The following is a 26,159-nucleotide window of genomic DNA, read 5'->3' as shown; positions in this document are numbered from 1 at the left end:
AATCTTATCTCTTTTCTTCTTTATTAGTTTAGCTGGCAGCCTATTTTATTATTTTTTTCAAAAAAAAAAGCTCCTGAATTCATTGATATTTTGAATGGTTTTTTGTATCTCTATCTTTTTCAGTTCAGCTCTGATTTTGGTTATTTCTTGTCTTCTGCTAGCTTTGGTATTTGTTTGCTCTTGGTTCTCTTGTTCTTTTAGTTTTGATGTTAGGTTGTTAACTTGAGATTTTTCTAATTTTTTAGGTGGGTATTTAGAACTATAAATTTCCCTCTTAACACTGCCTTAGGTATATCCCAGAGATTCTGGTATGGTGTATTTTTGTTCTCATTAGTGTCAAATAACTTGTTGATTTATGCTTTAATTTCATTATTTATCCAAAAGTTATTTAGAACCAGATTATTCAATTTTCATGTAATTTTATGGTTTTGAGTGAGTTTCTTAATCCTGATTTCTAATTTAATTGTGCTGTGGTCCAAGAGACTATTATGATTTCAGTTATTTTGCATTTGATGAGCAGTGTTTTACTTTCAATTACATGATTAGTTTTAGAGTAAGTGCCACGTGGCTATCAGAAGAATGTATATTCTGTTGGTTTTGGGTGGAGAGATCTACAGATTTCTATCAGGGCCACTTGATCTAGGGCTTAGTTTAGATCTGTTTAATATTGTCAGTGGGTGTTAAAGTCTCCCACTATTGTGTGTGTCTATGTCTCTTTGAAAGTCTTCAAGAACTTGCTTTATAAATCTGGGTGCTCCTATATTGGGTGCATATATATTTAGGATAGTTAGCTCTTCTTGTTGAATTGAACCCTTTACCATTAGGTAAGGCCCTTCTTTGTCTTTTTTGACCTTTGTTTATTTAAATTCTGTTTTGTCAGAAACTAGGATTGCAACCCCTGCTTTTTTTCTTTTCTGTTTGCTTGGTAAATTTTTCTACATTCCTTTATTTTGAGCCTATGTGTGTCACTGCATGTGAGATGGCTGACTTGAATACAGCATACCAGTGGGTCTTGTTTTTCATCCAACTTGCCACTCTGTGTCTTTTACTCAGGGCATTTAGCCTGTTTACATTTAAGATTAGTAGCAGTATGTATATTTTTTTTTCTGTCATCATGATGTTAGCTAGTTATTTTGTTGGTTGCTCTATAGTGTCACAATTCTACAGTGTCACGGGTCTGTGTACTTCAGTGTGTTTTATAGTGGCTGTTAGTTTTTTCTTTTCATATTTAGTGCTTTCTTTGGGAACTCTTGTAAGGCACATCTGGTGTTAATGAATTCCCTCAGCATTTGCTTCTCTAAATAGGATCTTATTCCTTTGTCAATTATGAAGCTTTGTACGGATGGATATGAAATTCTGAGCTGGAATTTCTTTTCTTTAAGAATGTTGAATATTGGCCCCCAATCTCTTTTGGCTCATAGGATTTCCACTGAGAATGCTGTTAGTCTGATGGGCTTTCTTTGTAGGTAACCTGGTCTTTCTCTCAAGCTGCCTTGAAGAGAATCTCATTTCATTTTGACCTTGGGGAATCTGATGATTATGTGCTGGGGATGATCTTTTCATGGAGTATCTTACTGGGGTTCTCTGCATTTCCCGAATTTGAAGGTTGGCCCCTGTAGCTAGGTTGTGGAAATTCTCCTGGATGATATCCCAAAATATGGTTTTCAAATTGGCTCCATTCTTCCCATCTCTTTCAGGTACCCTAATCATAGATTCCATCTCTTTACATAATTTTATATTTCTCAGAGGTTTTCTTCATTCCTTTTTTCTCTACTCTTGTCTGCCTTTTTTATTTCAGAAAACCAGCCTTCAAGCTCTGAAATTATCTAATCCTCTTAGTCTATTCTGCTATTAATACTTATGACTGAATTATGAAATTCTTGTAGTGTGTTTTTCAGCTCTATCAGGTTGATAACGTTTTTCTCTATACTGGCTATTTTGTCTGCCAGCACTTGCAATGTTTTATCATAAATTTTAGCTTCCTTGCATTGGGTTACAACACACTCATTTTGCACAGTGAAGTTCGTTTCCACACTCTGAAATCTACTTCTGTCATTTAAGCTATCTTTGGCTCAGCCTGGTTTTGGATCATTGCTGGAGAGGTGATGTGGTCATTTTATGTCTGGAATTGGTGCTTTCCGGTGGGTTCTTGGTCTAGCTGACTTCAAGAATGAAGCTGAGGACTCTCACGGTGAGTGTTACAGTTCTTAAAATGGTGTGTCCCGAGTTCGTTCCTTCAGAAGTTCAGATGTGTCCAGAGTTTATTCCTTCCGGTGGGGTCATGGTCTTGCTGACTTCAGAAGTGAAGCCACAGACCTTCACAGTGAATGTTACACCTCTTAAAAGTGGCACATCCAGAGTTGTTTGTTCCTCCTGGTGGGTTCGTGGTCTCGCTGACTTCAGGAATGAAGCTGCACACCCTCGCCCTGAGTGTTACAGCTCATAAAGGTATTGCAGACCCAAAGAGTGACCAGCAGCAAGATTTATCGGGAAGACCAAAAGAACAAAGCCTCCACACAGGGCAAGTTGCCCCTACAGCATTGCTGCTGCTGGCTTGAGTGGCCTGCTTTTATTCCCTTATTTGCCCCTCCCACATCCAGCAGAGTGGTCCATTTTACAGAGCACTGATTGGTCCATTTTACAGAGTGCTGATTGGTCCATTTTGCAGAATGCTGATTGGTCCATTTTTACAGAGTGCTGATTGGTGCATTTACAAACCTTTAGCTAGACACAGAGCACTGATTGGTGCATTTACAACCCTTTAGCTAGACAGAAAAGTTGTCCAATTCCCCACCCTAACCAGAATCCCAGCCAGCTTCACCTCTCAATTTGACAGAAAACAGGTACTCTGGCATTTTGAGTTTTCAGCATTCTTGTGTTGATTTCACGGGAGTTGCTAACTTTTGGATGTATTTATTTATTTATTTATTTATTTTCCTTTCACCAGTCTGGCCACTTTTGGGTAGGGAAAAACATATTACAAAGTGTTCATATATCTCTTTGTTGTTTCTTAAACTACATGTTAGGATGATTGGATGATTGGGAGAAAATCATTTCATTAAAGTTTCAGTATGGAAGTAAATCATTAAAGGAAGTTAAGTATCAGTTTATAGTTATTTTCTCTGGCATGTTTTTTGTTTGTTTTGTTTTTTGTTTTATTTGGTTTTGAGATGAGTACTCCTCTCTCTTGCTTATCCAAACTACAGGATAGAGTCATGTGAACTGCTGGCATTTAAAAAAAGAATTCCTTCTTTCCAATCGCTCAAATTATCTTATCTGCTATTGTTAGTTCTAAGTGTATCCCATTCAATTCTCCTGAGAATAAACCTCTTGTTCCTTGTCTTGTCTCAGAGACATGCATGTACTCAGTGTCATTTTGAGAGCAAGAATGTTCTGGTTTGATGGTTCCAGTCTTTCAAAAGACCCCCCTATTTTGAGACCTATACTTAACATATGACTCTATCAACTCATTAAAGATTTGTCTCAGCTAAATCAGTTACCACTTGTCAACCTATGTTGCAAAAATTTGTTAAAATCTGTAGTCAAGTAATGAACCCTGACCTTTTCTCTTTGTGCTTATGACTTAATAGCATTTTTATTTCTTGCAATAATTTTAGTAGGATCCTAGGTATGAGAAAGAAAAAATAGGAAAGTCAAGTTGCTATCTTCAGTTAGAAGCTTCCGATCAGCTCTATTGAATGGTTAACATGAATAGTCTCTGTATCCGTTATGTTAATTGTATTTAATCATCATAAGTCTGGTATATAGGAATTATATTGCACCTGTTTTGTAGATGTGATATCTGAGGCTCATTCAGGGAGTACAGGATTGTGGAATGATTATTATCAGTTTGCTTTTCTCTACCCATACCAGTTCGAAACTTTTTCTAGTCTGTTCTTTGCCTTAAGAATTGACTCCCATGGAATGCATCTCACTTACTGCTTCCCTTTGGTTAAGTTTCATCAGTGGAAGCAACTGGTAAATTAGAGTTTTTACCAGTTGGACTCTCCTCCAGATTCTACAGTTTTTTCCAATTGGCCTCTCCTCCACATCCTCCTTCTCCTTCTAGAGCTTCTTCTCTTTTTCCTCCTCCTTCTGTTCTCCAGCTCCCATAGAAATGAATGGCTTACTGCAGTTGCCAGTCTTGGATGCTTCGACATCCCTTACTGTTTGTGCTCTTTAAACCTGCCCACACTCTACAAGTGATATCTTTTTTCACGTCCTTTTATGTGAAACAACTATGTTGAATTTTGTTTCCCAATGAGGCTTCCCTCATAAGGAGGTAAATCTTGATACAATTCTTGCTTTTTCTTACTCCATAATCCAAATTCTTTTTTCTTTTTTTTTTTCAAATTCTTAAACACTGAACTACATTACTTTATCTTGCACTATTGACTCACAGAGTTCATTAGACACTAATTCAAATGTAAAAAAAAATTAAAGATATGTGTATGGGTATAGAAAATCATATCACATTCAACTAAAAAAGCATCTAGAATATGTCTTCACCAAACATTTAAGACTCAAATTGTGAAATCAAATGAAGCAACTAGAAATATACAAAGCAGTTTCAAAATTTAGCCATATTGTTAAAAACACCTATTGTGTACTTATTAGAGGACTTGAAATTATAGCACTGAGAGAATTGTACAGCTTCTGTGCAAAGATTCTGTGTAATGTGAAGAACTAGAAGGGACAAGGCAAAAATGTTTTCTCCCCTGATCCAAAGTTCCTAGCTTACACCCTCCTATTTCATCTACCCCAAGCATCTCCAGTCACAGCATTTGTGGATAAATGAAATAGAACAGATGGTTTAGCTGGTAAAACTGTTGCTCTAACTCTATATGGAGTTTGAGTTTCCTTATCTCTGTTCTTCTCTGAAAATACTGGATAGGTTATGTGCAGGGCAGACTATTTAAACCAACTGTTTTTAAAAGACAGAGTCATTTTTCTTCTCGTCAATTTCCACCCTTTCTCACATATTCCATATCATGTTTTCCATCTGTATAAAATACTAAGGCTCCTTTTTTTTCTTGGGATAGACTATCATGCTTGGACCAAATTAATCTCAGAGGAATATTGAGATTCCAATAAGAATACAGATATTTATCTGTGAGAAAGGCATATAGTGCAGGTTCAAGGTTCAGTTCCTGCCTACTAAGAGGTTCTAATCTAATTGTGAAATTCCTCCATTATTTATTTTTCTAATTCACAGAAATTGCCTTAATTTGGTCCCATTTTGTTTTGTTTTGTTCTTCTTAGTTTAGATTATCACAAAAATATATTGTTATTCTTTCACTCTGCAGCTCTTAATCCTTCCATTTTATTCTTATACTGAGAGATAATTAGTGTTCTAGCAGGCATATAACATAATTTTCCACCTCCAGACAGTTCTGATTTATTGGGAGTGGTTTTGTTGTATGCTGTGTTAAGCAAACAATGGTTGAGTGGGAAGGTATGTTAATATTTATTGCCAAAGTTTGCCAATACTATCCAGTGCCCAGTGACACAATGACAGCATTCAAAATACATGTTTCCATTCTTACCCTAGAATCTAGTCACATTACAGTTCTGCCTTAAGGAGGTGGAATAGCATAATGGTTAGGATTTGGAGCCAGGCTTTCTAAGTCCAAATTCTAGATCCATCCCTTGCTAGTTTTATTGAATTTAGTCTCAGTTATTCAAGCTCTCTGCCTCATGGTCATCATCTGAAAAATGACGGTAATACTTGTATCAATTGGAGAAGGTTGTTGTAAGAATTAAATTAGTTAATATGTGTAAAAGCAGTACTTAGAACACACTAAGTACAGCTTAAATATTTGTTGTAATTACTATTCATACAATATGTCTGCAACTTTTCTGTCTTTCTTGGTGAAACTACCATGAAGAATTTTTCTCCATTTCTCTATTCAGCAGAGCCTTACCCAATTTCTAAGAACCATCTTCAATGCTAACTTACCAGATCACAGTCAATCCAAAGTCTATTCTTTAAGTCTCTGAAAGATTTTATTTCCATTTCCATTTAAAGTAGTTGTATTCTGTTTTGTACTTTCCCAAAACTTCTTAGGCATTAGAAGCTTTTCCTTCTTACACTGTTTTTTCATTAGAATTATATGGCTGCATTCCCACTATTAGCAAGCCTCTTTCTTAACAACAAAATTGTGTTGTTGCCTTCTTAATGACATAACATTGTTGCGCATTTCATGTGTCATTAAATCATGATCTTTTTCAGCATGAAGGAGAAAACCAGAGATATGCTTCAAAGAGAAGCATATCTGTGTGTTTTTATAATTTTAGCAAATTATGTTTATATAATCAATGTATATATTTTGCTCACAAAGCATATGTTTTCATCTGAATCACAAATGCTTTTTGTGCTCAGATAAAGCACTGCTAATATTTAGGGTAAGAGAAATGAAAATGCCATTATGTTTGGTTTGTGTTTAATATGTCTCTCCTATCTCTCTTTTACTCTCTCTTTCTCCTTACTACTACATATATATATAATCTTTAATTGGACCAATTAAATTATTTCAAAAAGAACAAACTAAAGCCTTATTTCATTACAAATAAATTAAGAATTAGGAGACAATAGAGACTGACAATTCAATACCAATAGATAAATAATTGATAAATACTAAAGAAATAATTACATTACAGCATACTGTTCTGCTAAAACTAAGCTGTATCTGTGACTTTAAAATTTGATTTAACTTATGTATAAAAGAAACAAAGATTTGACATTTACAAACAGAGAAACAGGTGCTGTCAAATACTCAGTAATGTATACAAGTGGATGTTTTCAAGGAGATACTGAAATAAATGAATTACAATAAAGCTGGGAAAAATATTAAGTTAAGAGAAATAAATGTTAGATGTATATCTACTTGGAAAATACAACACTCCAAATAAAAACTTAAGGGCTAAAGAATTTTGAGAAGAAAGAAAGAAAGAAAATGAGTAGAAATTTAAAGAAGGAAAATAAATGCGGCAAACGCTGCTCCAGCTGCAAGCTTTATCTTCTCATTGCCTTTCCTTCTGTGAGAATTCCTCTTTTCTTCTCTTATGAGAAATCTTGTCATTGGATGTAAGGTCCAAACTAATTCAGGTTAATGTCATTTTCAGATTCTTAATTACATCTGCAAATAAACTATTCCAAGACAATGCCAGTGGATGTGCTGAGATCATTGTTCCAAAGAACAGTATCATTCAGCAGTGACAATCTAAATCAGAAATTCCAAGTCTTTGCTTTTGCTATACCTAGGCTTTTTTATATAGCAATTTATTTTTAGATTTCACCTTTCTTCTCTCATGAAAGTCTATCAAGCACCTAATAATTTATGTAGTTAGAAGGCGCACGATGAGTCCCAACTAGTTGTAGGTAATTTGCATTTTTAGCATGAAAGTAGAGAACCAATACCCTGATATTCTGCAAAGAAATAGATATAACTGTTGGAATTTCATACACATTATCTTATGCCATCTTCAAAAGAGTTCTTTAAGTCACAAGTACCTATATTTTTCAGAAACTACATACTTTGCCTTGATATGTAATTTTCATGTAACTTTAATTATGACTGTTCAAACACTCTAAACTACTAGAATACATGCTTGCACATTTTGTATTCCTCTAGTATCTATGTATTATGTGTATATAGTTAATTAGAAAAAAACTTGTGGGTAATATTCCACAAAGTACTGACTATTTTAGTACAGAAATGACAAAATCTACTTAGTAGTAACAAATTTATATTATTTGGAATGTCCAATTTTAAGTAAATTATCTAGAATTTATGACCCCCCCCCAAAAAAAAGTGACCAAACACTTTTATATAAATAAATAATTTCAGGTAGTTTGAAAATAATTTTTATTCTAATTTTATAGACAAATAAACTAATGTTAAGAGAGGTAAATAGCTTTACCTAGATGATTACCTAGATTTTATTTATTTATTTATTTATTTATTTATTTATTTGTTTATTTTGGGACAGAGTTTCTCTCTTGTTGCCCAGGCTGGAGTGCAATGGCATGATCTCGGCTCACCACAACCTCTGCCTCCAGGGTTCAAGCGATTCTCCTGCCTCAGCCTTCTTGAGTAGCTGGGATTACAGGCATGCGCCACCATGTCAAGCTAATTTTGTATTTTTAGTAGAGACAGGGTTTCTCCATGTTGGTCAGGCTGGTCTCGAACTTCTGACCTCAGGTGATCTGCCTGCCTCGGCCTCTCAAAGAGCTGGGATTACAGGCGTGAGCCACCGTGCCCAGCCCACCTAGATTATTTACCTAGCCGGTATTTTTATGTATAAATAGAATCTAAAATTGCCTTTTCCTATATATTCTGTTTTTGCTTAGTATTCTTTCTATTTGGCATGTGGGCAGTATTTGGGATGGAGAAGAACATTGACATATAGGCATTAATTTTTTTTAAATGATTGCATTGGTCTTTCTTCTTCATTAATATTACTTGTCTATTCATAAATATGACAACATTATAACATTAGCTATAATGTTATAATGAATAAAATGTTATCTAAGAAATGAGATATGTTTCTAAGGTATATTTTTAAAAAATGTATATGGATGTCCCCAGTGTGTGATGTTCCCCGCCCTGTGTCCAAGTGTAATGGGTGCAGCAAACCAACATGGCACATGTATACATATGTAAAAAACCTGCACGTTGTGCACATATTAATTTAAAAGAAATAAATGTTAGATGTATATCTACTTGGAAAATACAGCACTCCAAATAAAAACTTAAGGGCTAAAGAATTTTGAGAAGAAAGAAAGAAAATGAGTAGAAATTTAAAGAGGAAAAATAACTTAAATTATAACAAAAAAATATATAGATGTCTCATGAAGAGTATCCTTGTTCAATTCATTTGCTAAAAGTATATTTTAATTAATTTAAATATATTTAGAAACAAAAATATCTGACATTTGATAGGGCATGTATTAATTTTCTAGGGCTACCATAATAAATTACCATAAATGAAGTGGCTTAAAACAACAAAATTTATTATCATATAGTTCTGTAGGCCAGAAGTATAAGATCACAGTGTAGATAAGGGTGGTTATTTCTCTGAGGGACAATGCATTTTATGCCTGTCTCCTAGCTTTCAGTAGCTTCCCATAGCCCTTGGCCTTTCTTAATTCACAGATGCATTACTCTAATCACTGCCTTTATCTTTTCATTGACTTTCCTTCTGTGAGATTTCCTCTTTTCTTCTCTTATAAGACCTCTTATCACTGGATTTAAGGTCCAAGCTAATTCAGGTTAATGTCATTTTCAGATTCTTACTTACATCTGCAAATAAACTATTCCAAGACAATGCCATAGTCACGGTTTCTGAATGAAAGTTCCTTTTGTCGGGGGAGGGACACGGTTCAACCCACTACTATGTATTACACTTCCTAGCAGGAATATTAATGATAGAGTTAAGATTAAGTCTTCCAAAGTTAAAACATTCAGAGTGATACTGATTCATTCTACTTCAGAGTAGACTGAGGTAACATTTTAATACTATTATAAAAATTTTATAATAAACATTTGGAATATTATTATCTGTTTATCTCTTTAGTACAATAATAAGTGCATGTCATTACAAATATTCAAGCAAAAAATCCAGTTTCTTTAATATCAATTGAAAATGTTTTATATTTTGTGACCACAAGTTAAAATGATTTAGTATTATAATTTTTGTTAAATAAAATTACAAAAATTTGGGAAAACTACAGTAGCAGTAGATAGATTTTATGGTAGCCAAGTCTATGCACAGAAGCAGAATAACTATAATAGAAAAATTAAAAATAAACCGATAGCACAGACAAACAAAGCAAATGACAGGCTGTTTCATAAACTCCAAAATATGAGCAAGTGGACAAAATCACCTCCTTTACCAGACCATGAAGGATCAAACCTGTGTAAAAGCAAGGCAACAGGGCTTCTGGAAGTTTTATGAATGAGAGAAGCCTCTACATTCTCAACAGAAAATCAACAGATAGTGTGGAAAGACCCATCTGTTAACAGCAACTAAAATTGGAAATGAGTATTACAGACTCTCATTTGTAGAGAAGAACCAAAAGCACATGGTAATATCAAATGGCACCGGAACAGGACAAGCCCTTCTAATTAAAACTAGTACTTGAAGCTTCTTTCATATTGACTCAGTCTCTGCATTAAAATCAACTTGTCTTTATCCATAATCACCAGATTTTAAGCAATGTACAAGGACATTAGAGGCAAAAAATAACTCACATGCTTCCCTACTCAAATAATTTTGCAGTTCTTCAGCTTTACCTATTATTAATGAACCGTGTTTCAGCTGTAAATATAAAGTCAGAATCTATTCTTAGTTGTACCTGACAGGGCTTCGAGACAAAAAGCCAGTAGGAAAATTCAGCGCCTAATCACTGAAAAACATTAAGCTAGTCATGTGTTTCAATTTCTTCCTCCTGTCCATTCCTGGATATCTTACAAGGCATGGATGACTTTTTATGTTCTAATTCCACCTATATTTCCAAAATTAATGTCTACTATCTTCCTATAAGCACTGTAGCTTTCAATCATTTAAACTATCTAACATTCTCTTAAAAAACTGTGCTCTTTTACTAGGCACTTTATCCTTAAGTCCTTAAACGGTCCTTACTATGGTCATAAGCCAAGGAGAAGAGTCCAGTGGAGAGAGATTTTTGAATATGTAACAGAGAGAGAAATTATTAATGAGGAATAATCCTCAGAAATATAAGGTGCTTTTGCATTAATAATATCCTGAAAGATTTAGTTTCATGAACACTTTAGATGGTGATCTCCTAGAAGGCGGGGTTTGTCTTATTTATCTCATATTGCAAGAGCTTGGCACAGTACTCGGCTTATAATACACATTCCTGAGTGAGAATAGACTTGTACTTAGAAAAATTTGGAAGGGAAGAAGAACTTTTAAGAATATCATATCCTATTTAGTGTCTGACTTTTCTAAGAAACAGGCAAGATGAAAGAGTGAAATTGAAAAAAGTGAAGTATTAGAGATCCATTACTTGAGGAATGGAGAGGAATGAACTAAAGAATATTTAAAAGAAGCATGGACTAGAGTAAAGATGCAATTGAAGTAATGTGAATGTTAGAAAGGGTAAAAAATCATAATGTGTAATTAAAAGCAATAGTATTCTCTACCTATTTTTACAGTTATTTATTATGTGGCTTTGTGTACAAGTAAACATGATTTTGGGATCTTAAATCAAGAGAGTTTTATTTTCTCAAAATATCCTCTATGAATAAAACTTCTGTACTCTAAGAAACAAATATATTTATAGAAAGACTGAAGGACAAGAAAAGAGAGAAGATCTTCTACAGAGCATTTGTGGTGGGTGGTCAATTAGCTCAGCAAAGACAAATATCCAGGCAAGTTCTAACTCCAATGGGAGTTACTTCATTATATTTCCGGAAAGGCAGAAGAAGAAAACAGTTATAAAGTAATGAATTTAATGACTCAACTATAAACCTGTAAAGGGGAAAAACTAGCAATGTCCTATTGATTAATTACATATATTTTCAAAACTGCAACATTAAAATAATTGTTTTAAGATCCAAAAACATGCAAGATAGTGGGGAGGTGCTGCTACAGAGCACAACCTAACTTTCAGTGAATTAATGTTTAATAATTAAAACTTAACAAATATTCCTCTCTGCAACATTTCAGAAAGTCAAATATAATAATTGTAAGATTCTATAAAGTCTTATTTGTACTGACGTTTTTTTCTCGATTTTTTTGACGTTATCTTTCTTCATTTCCATTTGATGGGAAAGTACAATGAAAATGCAAACATGTACCTGGCATCCTGGCTTGGCTTCTAATACCATTCTCCAGACCTTCTTAAAGAAATGCTTGATTTTAGGGCTGGGGCAAGAAATACATACCATGAGATTGGAACACTTTTTTCATGCCAGATGATAAAAAAAAGTGCTTCAGAAAACTCAAAACAAAACACATTGATGGGAGTATACCAAAGAGACACAGGAGTAAACTAAAAGATCTTTCAGTGGCCAAAGGTGGAACAATTTGAGCCAAAATATAAAACTGGAACAATTTGTGTCTTAGCCAAAATATAAATATCCATGATTCCATATGATATAAATACATGATTAAATAAATAAATAAATAAATAAATGGGAGAGAATAGACAAATTTCCTGTGCAGAAGATTTCCAAATAATTCATGGAGTTGCTTTGCCATCAAGGAAATGGAGCATAACTTTATGTGCTTGATGTATGTGATGCATATAGTGACTTCCTTACAGAGAATGCAAAAGGGGACAAATGAGTAATTTTACATTGGAGAAATGTGAAAAACATTACCTCAGTCAGGTGATCAAGATAAACAGTAACAGTGATAAGTCACATTGATAGTATGTAACCTTGATACCACTTGATGAGAATGGTACTTTACCTCTGCAGCCTTCCTCTGGATAACCCCAGCATAATCATAATAAACATGAGACAAATCCAAATTAAGGGGCATTCTACAACCTATTCCTCAAAATTGTCAAAATCATTTAAAGCAAGGAAAGTCTGAGAAAACTGTCACAGCCAAGAGAAGCCTAAGGAGACATTGTGAATCAACTTAATGAGGTATCCTAGATGAAATCCTAGTAGAGAAAAGAAGATAGGTAAAAACTAAAGAAATCTGAATAAAGTATGGAACTTATGTATCCACATGGTTTCCTTAACTGTGATAAAGGCACCACATTATTGTAAGAAGTTAACAGGAGAATCTGAGTAAGGAGTTTATGTGAACTCTCTGTACTATCTGATGATTTATTCTATAAATCTAAAACTATTCTAAAACAAAAATTTCATTTAAAAAAGGCAAATATAACTTTCTCACTTTATATCTGACTTTTTAAAAGTAATATCATACTGAAAATAATATTTACTTTTATCGAAGTAATACATGTATGTAATTAAAAGATACGTGATCTGCAAGACTCATAGAACCCCTTTTTACTTGATTTCCCCCATGGGCAAAGATATTAAGGAATTTTCCATTTCTCTATTCCTTTGAAGACTTTCCCCATTGTCCCTCTGTTCTCCTTCAATCTGAACACCCAGTTATCAAGGCTGCTGATTGTCTCTCACTCTGGAAATCTTTTTTAATAGCATCCAGGATGTCTTTCTATTGATGTTCTTTGTAGAATATGTTTTCTCAATCCTGCGTCCTCTTCTTCAGTGGCTTACTTCATTCTTTATTTCTAGGACCCAAGTTTCAATATATTTCTGCAAAGAAATACATGGGAGGTAAATCTTGAGAGACTGTGTCTGTGAAATGTCTGTTTTATCCTCATACTTGTTTGAAAATTTGGCTGATTGCAGGATTGTTATAAATAGTTTTTTTCTCAGAAATTTGTTATGACACTGTTAAATGTTTCTATTGCTTCTCATGTTACTTTTGTCAACTCTAGTTCCATCTTTTTTCTCAATTATTTGTATTATCTATTGTTTTCCTTCTGTGAAAGCTTTTAGTTTATTTTCTTTAACCCTGATATTTTAAAATTTTCCCATGGTGTACCCTGATGTGGAATTTTTTTTTTCCAGTGGTTTGGAATATTTCATGTCCTGCAACACTGGGAGATTTTGTTAATTTTTTTTTGGCAATTTTGTCTCCCGTGTATTGTTTTCTCTCTCTTTTTAAAATTCCTACTAAACAAATGTAAAACCTCCTGCAAAATTTTAGTTTATCAGTTTACTCCTGAAAAATCTTGGAAAGTCACTGAAATTAGACTGAGAGTGAATAATAGAAAAGAGAGAGAGAGAGAGTTTATCCCAAAACCAAAACCAAACAAATAAAAAAAAAAAACAAAACAACAACAACAACAATAAAATACATCTTAGACCTCTCCAGCAGGTTACCAACACCCTCTGATGCATATTGGTAATTCCTCAGTTTTTCACTCTATTTTAAATTTATGTATAATGTAAAAGTGACCTTGTGTTTGACTTTTATTGGCTTAAAATACACAAATGTCCAATATAAGTTTAAGGTTTTTGAGAACTTGTCCCTTGAAATCTTATTAAAGAAATTTTTTAATGGTATAAGATTTTATGATGCAGAGCGTAACAGAAGACAAAATATTCTCACAATATTAGAAGATGGAGGTTTTATTCTCTGAAGAAATGAAGCCAGGAAGGTTCTAGAATTTTTTTTCTTTCTTTTTTTTTTTTTTTTTTTTTTTTTACATCAGGCCTATTCAAATGTCTGGGAAATGAGAAATTCTACCTTCTCAGGAGTGAGACTTTGAGCATTTGTTCCTCATCAGTTCCTAGAATGCAAGAAAGGATTCTGCAACGAAATTGGTTTTCTTCTCAACATCTCCCTCCACATGCACTTAGCTTTGATCTTCCCCACACACATTTTGGTCCTCTGTTGTGTTCTGCATCATGGAATCTTATAACATTTAAAAAAATCCTTTAATTTGAATGGAATTCCATGGGACATGCATTCAAAAAACTTAACCTTATATTGGATATATGTATATTTTAATCCAATAAAAGTCAAACACAAGGGCACTTTTACATCATACATAAATGTAAAAGACAGTAAAAAACTGAGGAATAAAGGCTTAAAGGAAATCATAGGAATATACCCAAAAATTCAAGAGGTCTTAAATCAGATGACAGTGTCCAGTTTTCCTGTTGTAATCTCTTTTGGAATAATCTTCTTTCTGATTTTCTGTTTTTTCTCTACTTTGTTAATTATTCTTTATCAAATGTTTCTTTAATTTTCACAAATGGATGTTTCAGGGCCTATATGAGGATGTTCCAGGAGTACAGAGGCCCCTCTGTTACAAATACTGCACATTTTTAAGCACAGATTTTACTGAAATTGTGTAGAAAAAGAAGAGTACCACACCATAATAAAGCAAAACATACATTATATAATAAAAATTTTAAACTGCTTACATTTTCTGATAAAACACAACCTCCAAAGAATTTTTGTGAATGTCAATGTTTCCAGAATCTCTAGGCATGTGAATTCTTATTTCTTTGCCCTTGGGCACTTGAAGAGAGAGTTTTGATAAACTCTGCCAGAGGAGCTAAAATCATTGTTAGAATTGGCCTTTACCTGAAGTCACAAAACATTTCATTGCAAATAATTTCTAAGGAAATTCATCCTTTAACACATTCATTGCTTACAAGAGAAAAAGCAGAGTTCAAAACTGGTTAAAACACAATGTTTCTCTGAAATATATTACAAAAAAAAAATCTCTAGGGCTGTCTGTAAGGCAGAACTTTGTTATTCCTTACAGAATTTCCATCAGTCAATCAACTAAATTAGCCAAAGTCCCATGAATAAAAACCATTATGCTGCAGTTTACTTCTGTAAAAAGTTTTCAAAATATGTTTATTAATTTATTTGCAGTTCTTCTACAAAACCAATGGTCTACATATTAACAACTGGAAGGCATTTATGTGCACAATTTATCATGTGAATCAAAAGCTATTCTTTACTTTCTATAAAAACACTTAAAATAACACATCTAATATAGTTGTTTCAAGCTGTGTATTAGGATGTGAATTGCCATGTACAATGACCAAAAACACAATTAAATGCCTCATGAGATAAATCAAACAGCTTTATTTTATCATTTGAACCGATCTTCTCTCTTTTTTGTACTCATTTCCTCTTTTTTTTTTTAAGTTCAAATGTATACAGCACAAAGAAACATCAGGAGAATTAGAATATAAATTAAAGAGTTTGTAGGGGACAACTGAAAAGTTTGAAGGAATTGTAGTGGGAGACAGAAAATTAAATTAAACAGAATGTGTTGTTAAGACCAGGCAGGGCTCTTGAATTGTCATGGCTGCATTGAGAATGTGGACTCAAGGTTGATGGCCAAGGAAAGACAGTATTTCTGGGCAAAAAGTGACAAGCAGGTAACAAATATGCAACGAGCAATTAGGTGTGGCTTTATGGTGATTCCCATTGCTCATTCTCATAATAAAAGAGGAGTTAAAAAGTTAGTTGGCTCCTGACACTGTTCTTTTCAGACTTTTGACTTCCACAAGAGTATGCTTCTGGTTTCCCCCACAATTCTAGCTTTCTCTCGTGCATTACTTTTGACTCTAATTCCATGCCTTTCTGACACCTTGAGTTCCTAAACTTTCACTACTCTTTCTTCATTGTCTTGGCTTTAGAAATTATATATATGTCACAGTCTCACAAATTTGATCCCCACTTCAAGACTCGCTTCTGAGCTCTAGACCTTCCTATCTCCTTCCTTCCTTCCTCCCTCCCCTCCCCTCCCCTCCCCTTCCTCCCTCCCTCCCTCCTTCCCTTCCTTCCTTCCTTCCCTTTTCTTGAGATGAAATCTCACTCTGTCATACAGTCTGGAGTGTAGTGGTGTGATCTCGGCTCACTGCAACCTCCACCTCACAGGTTCAAGCAATTCTCTCACCTCAATTTCCAGAGTAGCTGGAATTACAGGCACCTGCCACCATGCCTGGCTAATTTTTGTATTTTTAGTAGAGATGGGGTTTTACCATGTTGGCCAGGCTGGTCTGGAACTCCTGACCTCAAATGATCTGCCCACCTCAGCCTCCCAAAGTGCTGGGATTACAAGCATGAGATCTAGGCCTTCCTATCCAGCTTCTTTCTTGATATGTTCAATGAGATGCCCCACACGTATCTCAAACTTGAGATATCAAAAATTCAAATCGGTTTGCCACATCTAATTTCTCCATATCCCAGTCTTTTGCAAATAATGACCCCAGTTTCTCAAGCCATAAAAATGGGATTTCTTTTTATGGAGAAATATTTCTCTCTTTTACTCCATATATAATTCTTTGTCTATTATCCCTAAATATTAAAACTTTTTTTTTCCATTTCTCTCCATATATGCTTCCTCAATTGAATCCCATAATTTTCACTTGGACTACTCTATCAATTTCCTAATGGATCTTCCTGTTTCATTCATGGCTCCTACAATCCACAGTCACACAATGATCATAAAAACTTATTGCCAACACTTGGGGTGTATTATGCCATTTCTCTTCTTAAAAGTTTTTAATGATTTTGAAATACTTCTAAAAGCTGTTCACTTTGGCATGTTAATACTTGTTTTCATTTATGTAAGAGCCAATATTAATTCAACAAATATTTATGAAGAATCTGCTATAAAGCAGGTCAAGTTCTAAGCATTGCTGAGTGGCCCACACATTTATAAAACTTACTATCTTCAAGCTTGCATTCTAATGAAAATAGCCATCATATTTTGAGTGATTATTATAGACTTTACACATACTATGTCATTTAGCCTGCTCAATAACTCAATGAGATAGTTAAAACTTCTTATATACATCTTCAATATTAGTGTCTTTGTATCAGAAAAGCCATATTTTAAGTCATCTAATACAGTTTTATTGAACAATTTATTTATTTATTCAATAAATCTCCATTTAGAAAACATTATATAGTAAGGATTTTAACAAAACAGGAGAAAAAATTCCTTGCGTGGAAGCAGATTACACTGTAGTTGTAGAAAATGGCATTACAAGATAAAGCGGTAAAATACATAGTATATTAGATAGTTATAAATAGTTTAGAAAATGTTGAAAGGGAGATAAAAGTTTAGAAACAGCTTGCTTTTGGGCGCTCAGGTAAGAACTCATTAAGAATGGGCTATTTGAAAAAGACCTGGAATAGTGAGGAAGTGAGCATTTATATATCTTTGGAAGGAATGGTACAGAGGAAGGCATAGCAAATGCAAACACTCTAAGGCAGAAACATGATTTATCTGTCCTTGGAGCAGCAAGGAGACCAGTGTAGTTGTAGCAATACGAATGATACGGAGGACAATGTGAGGTAAATTCAGGTAAGTAATATGGTGTAACAGTTTCCTAGGGCTTCCATCACAAACTACCACAATCAGCGAGCCTTAAAATAAGACAAAAAAAATTGATTGTTTCACAGTTCTGGAGTCTAAAAAATCTCAACTTGAGGTGTTATCGGGGCCTTGCTTTCTCTGATCCTCCTCCTATCTTGTGGTATTTGTGGGCAATTTTTGACATTCCTTGGTTAACAGCAGCATAACTCCAGCCTCAGCCTCTATTTTCATGTGACTGTCTTCCCTTTGTCTATATCTCTGTATGGGTTTTCTCTGCTTATAAGAGCACCAATCATTAGATTAGTGCCCACCCTAATCCAGTATAACCTCTTAACTATTTATATCTGCAAAGATCCTATTTCCAAATAAACTCATTGTATTAATTTCCTAGGCCTGTTGTAACAAATGACCACAAACTGGGTGTCTTAATGCAACAGAAATTTATTCTGTCACAGTTCTGGAAGATAGAGGTGCAAAATCAAGGTGTCAATAGGTCCATGCTCTTTCAAACGACTCTTGAAAAGAATCTCTTCCATGTCTCTTAGCTTCTGGTGTTGCTGGCAATTCTTTCTGTTCTTTGGCTTGTCAATACACCACTCCAATCTCTGCCTCTGTCATCATATGGTGACTTCCCTGGGTCTTTCTCTCTGTATCTCTTTACCTCTTCTTATAAGGGCACCAGTCATTAGATTAATCCCCATGCTTATCAAGTATGACCTCATCTTAATTTGGTTAGTTCTCCAATGATCTTATTTCCAAATAAGGTCACATTCATAAATACCCAGGGTTAGGACTTGAACATATCATTTTGGGGGATGCAATTTAACCCATAACTGTTACATTCCAAGTCTATATGTAGAGCAATAATATTTAATCCACAACAGTCCATTGTCTGCCTTATAATAACTCTTGTCTATCATATGTGAAAAATTCATTCACCCCATCAGAACATCCTCAAAAGTATCAGTTTATTCTACCACTAACTCTTAAGTCCCAAATCTTATCTAGCTGTCAATTCAGAAAGTCTCAATCTCATGATCTAAATAATCTAAATCAAATATAAATAAGATTCTAAGTATAGACAATTTTGGATCAAAATTCTCCTCCATCTATAGACCTATGAAACCAAACAACACAGTTTCTCCTTCCAAAATAAAATCGTGGGGCTAACATAGGATAGATATTCTGTTTCAGTCTCTTTGGGCTGCTGTAATAAAATGCTATAACCTTGGTAACTTATAAACAATAGTTTCTAAGTTTATTCTCACAGTTGTGGGGGCTGGAAAGGTTAAGATCAAGGTGATAACAGATTCAGAGTCTAGTGAGGGCCCATTTTCTGGTGTATAGTTGGTACCTTCTCACTGTGTTCTCAAATGATGGAAGAGCTCTTTGGGGTCACTAATTCCATTCATGGCTCTGTTATCATAATCTAATCACTTCCCAAGACCCTGCCTCCTATTCCCATCATCTTGAGGATTAGGATTTCAACATATGAATTTTGGGGAAACACAAACATTAGACCATAGCACATTTCAATTAAGAAAAAGAGAAAAAATAAAGAATAGATTGATAGTCAAAAGCAAGTTTTTAATAAAGCAGAGCAGTTCAACAAGGTTTTAAGGCCTGAGAGCAATCCTCTGTTGCTCAGTGACCTGCCCTTTCTACCCTCTGTGGCAACAGTAGCACCCCAGCTTCTTTGACCTCTAACCCTTTGGTGCTGCTCTTGGAATCACTCTTCCTTCGTTTCTTCCTAACTCTGTCTGTTTTGGTCCAGGCTGTTAGAATTTCTGTTGGAATAAAAGTACTAAAAACCTTGTTGGTTTTCCCTGGATGCTAAGGGGGCACCCAATTAGATATGAACATTAGATGTGAACATTTTCCATGAAGCCTACCTGGATAACCCTATCTCTAATCCTGGCTTTAGATGACATGGTTGATTGGATAGATGAGTCACATACCTGACCTTTTCACCAAAAGGTTGTCTAGCCACACTCTTGGCTCTAGGCATGCTCAGAATTTTCCAAATCATCAAGTGCTGATTCATTTTTGTTTGGCAGTTTTTTTCCAAGCTTACCTCCTTTTTAAGTATTCTACTATAAGATGCAAGAAGGAACAAGATTGCACCTTCTATATATTGCCTCAAAATCTATTTAGCTAAATATCCAAGTTCATTGCTCCAAGTTCTACTTTTACTCAATGGTAGAACATAATTAGCCCAAGTTTTCTACACTTTATAATCTGTATTAGTGTCCTGGAGCTGTTGTAACAAAGTACCATAGACTGAGTGGTTTTATATAATGAAAATGTATTGTCTCAAAGTTCTAGAAGCTACAAGTCCAAAATCAAGGTCTTTGCAATTGTTGGTTCCTTCTAGGGGACAGTTCCTGGCATTGTAGACATGTAATTCCCATATAGTTCTTCCAACAGTTCTTGGCATTGTAGACATATAATTCCCATCTCTGTCTATGTTTTCATATGCTTTAGTTCTTTCCACTCTAAATTTTATAAATGACCGTTCTTATTTTCTTATAAGAATACCAGTTATTTGAGTAAGATCCATTTTAATCCAGTATGACCTCATCTTGACTACATCTACAAAGATCCTATTTCCAGATAAGTTCATATTCATGGGTACTAGTAATTAAGACTTCAGTATGTCTTTCTTGAGGGCACAACTAAACCCACAAAATATGACATCAATTTCATTTCTGCATTGTATCACTAAATTATTGAAAATCAATATGGTTGCCATGCTGTAGGAGACAAAACAGTTCAGATTTGTATGTCTTGAAATTAACAATATAAGGTAGTTTACAGACAAAAAGTAATGAATTATTCTTTTTTATTAATCCACAAAATTATTTAATAAAGCTAAACATACAATGATAATGTTGCTTAAAATAGTTTACTATTTGGCTTTATTCATTGATCTTTTTGGAAGATGTGGTTAGATTTTGGATATGGGTCATTGGGTGAATGGCAGTGAAATTTTCTGAGTTAAGAAAGAATAGGGGAAAGAAAGGTTTGGGATAAAAGATAAGGAGACAAGTTAAGTAAGTCAAATTTAATCTATCTATTAGGCATGGATGTTAGGTGGGCAACTGTGTATAGGTAAACGGAGTTTGAAATGAAGGTCCAGGATGGAGATATAAGTATGGAGTCATCAAAATACAGGTAATCTTTATAAACATGAGGTTTACAGAGATCATCAAAGGAGTGAGAAAATAAAGGAGTGAAAAAGCCCCTAAAACACTCACGTCTATGTGGTGAAGTGACATGAAAAAACCCATCATCTTTATTTTTTCTCAGGTTGATTCAGTCCTAGTAATTTTTGCATATTTATAATTTTATAACTAAAAATGTTATCCCAAACCACAAATACATATTTATAGAATACTCAGAATATTGTGTTTCTCTGTAGGTTTTATGTATATCTCCATTGTTTCATTGCCTGGTCCAGGAAATTAGGAATTTCAACTGTTATTTTTTATCATAACAAAACAAATGTGGAAAAAAGTCCTGGTATGTGGTGGCTATGGGATCTCCATTGTTTTGTGATACAAATATAAATATTAGTAATGTTTATATTTTTCAGTATGATAACTTTCCACTTTATTCACTAGTACTCAATAAACAGAAAAGACTGGACAAATAGACTAAAACTAAAAATGAAATGCTTTTTTTAAAGTAAATTTTTCCATTTAAAATATTACTTTGGCAGACTGTAGGAATAAGGTGTTCTAAATCTCTTGTTCTTACATATAGTTTTTAAAAAGTAGGTCCTTAAGTACTGCCGAATTATTTTTTCTCATCTAAAAGTCCATGGAAAGATTAACTAGAATATTCAAGTGTATGGTGATACATAATAATAAAAAGATTTGCTGAAGTATGGAGTTCGTTAAGCCAAACATCTTATTTGGAACTTGTTCAAGGTAGTACGTAATTGCTAGTATCAGCAAGACCAGAGAAAACATGTTTACCCTCAGCATTGTGTGGACGGTATGTGCAGTCATGCAACAATATTCAAAAATAGTCACTAAAAATGTCTTTTATTTGGCTTAAAACTGTTACACCTTAAGCTTCTGAGATGATATATAAATATTGACATTAGAAAAAGCAACAATATGATATAATCAGATTTTCTATTTTATTCTGTGTCCATATAATTTTTAGAAATGAAATTAAGATTTAAGCAAGCATACTCGAAATCAGGTAGTTCTGCTATTTTGAATCATAAAAATATAGGCGTAGTGTCTAATGATAGTAACATATCTCTTAAATTCCTTAAATTATGGCAATATACAACAAGAAAATAATTTTATTTATCTTAATAATAAAATGAAATGACCTAGTATATAGGTCATCTATAGGTAGGTCATATATTTTATTCCAACTACCTATAAGTTCATATATATTAAATGATTCATATATATAACATTTATAAATGTATTTTTATAAATTATCATTATATAAATAAATAATATAATTTATGTATCTGCATAGTATATATAAATTTATATATAATATATAATATAAATATATAAATTATATAATGTAAAATATTCTACCTACATGTTATGAGCTGAATTATGTTTTTCTGAAGTTATATTTTGTTGAAGCCCTAATCCACAGTACCTCAGAATGTGACTGTCTTCAGAATAGGGCCTTTAAGGAGATTTAGGCATACTTTGTTTTGTTTTATTGCATTTCACTTTATTGCATTCCACAGATAATTGCATTTTTTTTACAAATTGAAGGTTTGTAGCAAACATAAGTCAAGTACGTCTATTGGTGCCATTTTTCCAACAACATGTGCTCACTGCATGTCTCTGTGTGACATTTCGGTAGTTCTCATAATAGTTTAAGTTTTGTTCATGCTTATTATATTTGTTATAGTGATGTGTGATCAGTGATCTTTGGTGTTACTATAGTAATTGTCTTGGGGTACCATAATCCGTACCCGTATAAAACACCAACTTAATCCATAATTGTTGTGTGTGTTCTGATTGCTCTACTGATCAGGCTTTCCTAAGATCTCTCTCCATGGGTCTCTCTTTTCTATTCCCTGAAGCACAACAGCATTAAAATTAGACCAATTACCGGGCGTAGTGGCTCACACCTGTAATCCCAGCACTTTGGGAGGCCCAGGTGGGCGGATCACGAGATCAGGAGATCCAGACTATCCTGGCTAACACGGTGAAACCCCGTCTCTACTAAAAAATAGAAAAAGTTAGCCGTGATGGCAGGGGCCTGTAGTTCCAGCTACTTGGGAGGCTACTTGGGAGGCTGAGGCAGGACAATGGTGTGAACCCAGGAGGCGGAGCTTGCAGTAAGCCAAGATCGTGCCACTGCACTGTAGCCTGGGTGACAGAGTGAGACTCTGTCTCCAAAAAAAAAAAACTATGCGAAACCTATTCTGCCTGTCCTATTCTGCCTGTCCTCTAAAGATGGCACAACAAAGCCTGGATGACAGCACATCTTTTTACAGCAAGGTTTACTGAATATTTTAAGGCTTACTGAAGATTTTAAGCCCAGTGTTGAGACCTATTGCTCATAAAAAAAGATTCACTTCAAAATATTACTGCTTATTGACACTGCAGCTAGTCACCCAAAGGCTCTGGTGGAATTGTGCAAGGAGATTAATGTTGTTTTCATGCTTACCAACACAACATGCATTCAGCAGCCCATGGATCAAGAATCATTTTCACTTTCAAGTCTGATTATTTAAATACATATTTTAAAGCTAAAGCTGCCATAATCATTCCTCTGCTGTATCTGTGCACAGTAAACTGAAAACCTGGAAAAGATTCACCATTATAGATGAAATTAAGAATATTTTTGGTTCATAGGAAGAAGTCAAAATATCAGTATTAACAGAAATTTGGAGGAAGTTGATTCCAACTGTCATTGATGACTTTGAGGGGTTCAAAATTTCAGTGGAAGAAGTAACTGCAGATGTTGTCAGAATAGCAAGATAACTAGAATTAATAGTGGAGCCTGAACTGTGACTGAGTTGCTGCAATTTCATGATAAAATTTTAATGGGTGAGAGTTGCTTCTTATGTGTGAGCAAATAAAGTGATTTCTGAGATGGAATCTCCTCGTGATGAAGATGATGAGTACACTGTTGAAAGGACAACAAAAATTTATAGTATTACATAAACTTAGTTGATAAAGTAGCAGGGTTTGAGAGGATTAACTCTAATTTTGAAAGAAGCTCTGCTGTGTGTAAAATGCTATCAAACAGCATGACATGTTACAGAGAAATCTTGCAAAAGAAAGAACCAAATTGATGCAGCCAATTTCATTATTGTCTTATTTTAAGAAATTGTCATAGCCACCTTACCCTTCAGCAACTATCCCCCTGATCAACATGCAGTAAGACCCTCCACCAGCAAAAAGATTACAGCTCTCTGGAAGCTCAGATAATTGTTGGCATTTTTTAAATGATAACATATTTTTAAATTAAGGTATATACTTTTTAAAGACATAATGCTATTGCACACAATCGACTACAGTATTGTGTAGACATAACTTTTGTATGCATGTAAGAACCAAAATTTTTGTGACTCACTTTATTGTGATATTCACTTTACTGTGGTAGTCTGAAATGAACTTTTGATATCTCCAAGGTAAATATATTAGAATGAGACCTTTAGCATAGGCTCTAATCCAGACTGACTGGTTTTCTTAGAGGAAGAGGACAGACAAAGAAACAGAGACACTAGTGGTATAAACACCCAGAGCAGAGACCATGTGGCAATGCAGCTGGAAGGCTGCCATCTGCTAGCCAAAAGAGAGACGGACCTCAGAAGTAAAGCAGCTTCCTGACACCTTGGTCTTGGAATTTATGCTTTTAGAACTCTAAGAAATAAATTTATGTTGCTTAACCCACTCAGTCTGCGGTATTTTGTTTTGGCAGTCCTACTAAACAAATGCACTAATAATAATTTTTTATATATGTAATCACAAGTTCTCAAGAATTACAAGATAATAAAATGTGTTTAATACTAAAGTCATACCAAACATTAATCTGTTTGTGATGGTTTAGAAGAAATTTTAGACACTGCAATATCTCAAATTATTATTATTAGGATGAATTACTATTACTGTATTTTAGAAATACAAAAATGCTATCCAAGACCATTCCACCTGACAGAATATAACATAAAATGAGTTTAGATTCTTTATTCTTAAATATCGAGTCTGAAGTACAGCATTAAAATAATCAACTATAAAGGAATAGTTTAGCACTAAAAATGGTAAATTTTATTTACTATTATATAAGAAAAATGCAATGTACATTGCTCAAACTTTTAATAAACAATATTAACTGAAATATTTTATTCTTATTAAATATGTCAGAGATAAACCTATATATGATAGCATCACAATAGGCACAATATATGGATTATTTTCATTAATTTTATCTTTATTGATAACGAAGACTCTATAAATAAAAATTTTAATTTTATGTAATTACTAACTTTGTATAAAACAATGTATACAACTGTTGGTGTATTAGAGACTGTACAATTTTTCTTCTGTTCATTCTCTCTCTCTGCCTCCTGAGAAATACCTCAAGGAATTCATTGTTTTGTTTTAGTGAAATATCTTATGTGTTACATTTTCTAAAATTTTTCAAAGTAAAACAGTTTTTTTTATTTGGCTGAACAGAGTTTGACATTGTATCTTTTCTATGAATACCTCAGATAATGACTTCTGTACCATTAGACCCATTCTGAAAATATGGTAGGCCCCCTTATTTGCATTTTCTTTTTGTGATTTCAATTACCTGTCATCAACAGAAGTCTGAAAATAGTTGAATACAGTACAGGATATTCTGAGAGAGGGAGAAAGAGAGACCATATTCACATAAATTTTATTACACTACATTGCTATAATTGTTTACTTTTATTACTTATTATTATTAATCTCTTACTGTGCCTAATTTATAAATTAAATGTTATCATAGGTATGTTTGTATAGGAAAATACATAGTGTAAATAGCATTCAGTATCCACAGTTTCAGGCTTCCACTGGGAATGTATTCCCTGCAGATAAGGGTGGACTACTGTATTTACATAATTGACTTCCCTTTTCAATGTAATTGTCTCAGTTCTTAGCTCTGTTCATAGCATTAGTGAGCTCTTATTGAATTAAATACTGTTCAAAGATTAAAGAAAAAATGGATTTGATAAAATAAATACAGCTCTTGATGGTACCATACCATATTCTGACAAACTTCTACTGAATATTAAAGTATAAAGTAAACACACAAC

Source organism: Homo sapiens, chromosome 1 (assembly GCF_000001405.40).
Source record: "Homo sapiens chromosome 1, GRCh38.p14 Primary Assembly".
NCBI lineage: Eukaryota > Metazoa > Chordata > Mammalia > Primates > Hominidae > Homo > Homo sapiens.
The sequence above is the reverse complement of the archived record's forward strand: the minus strand, read 5'-3'. Positions refer to the sequence as shown.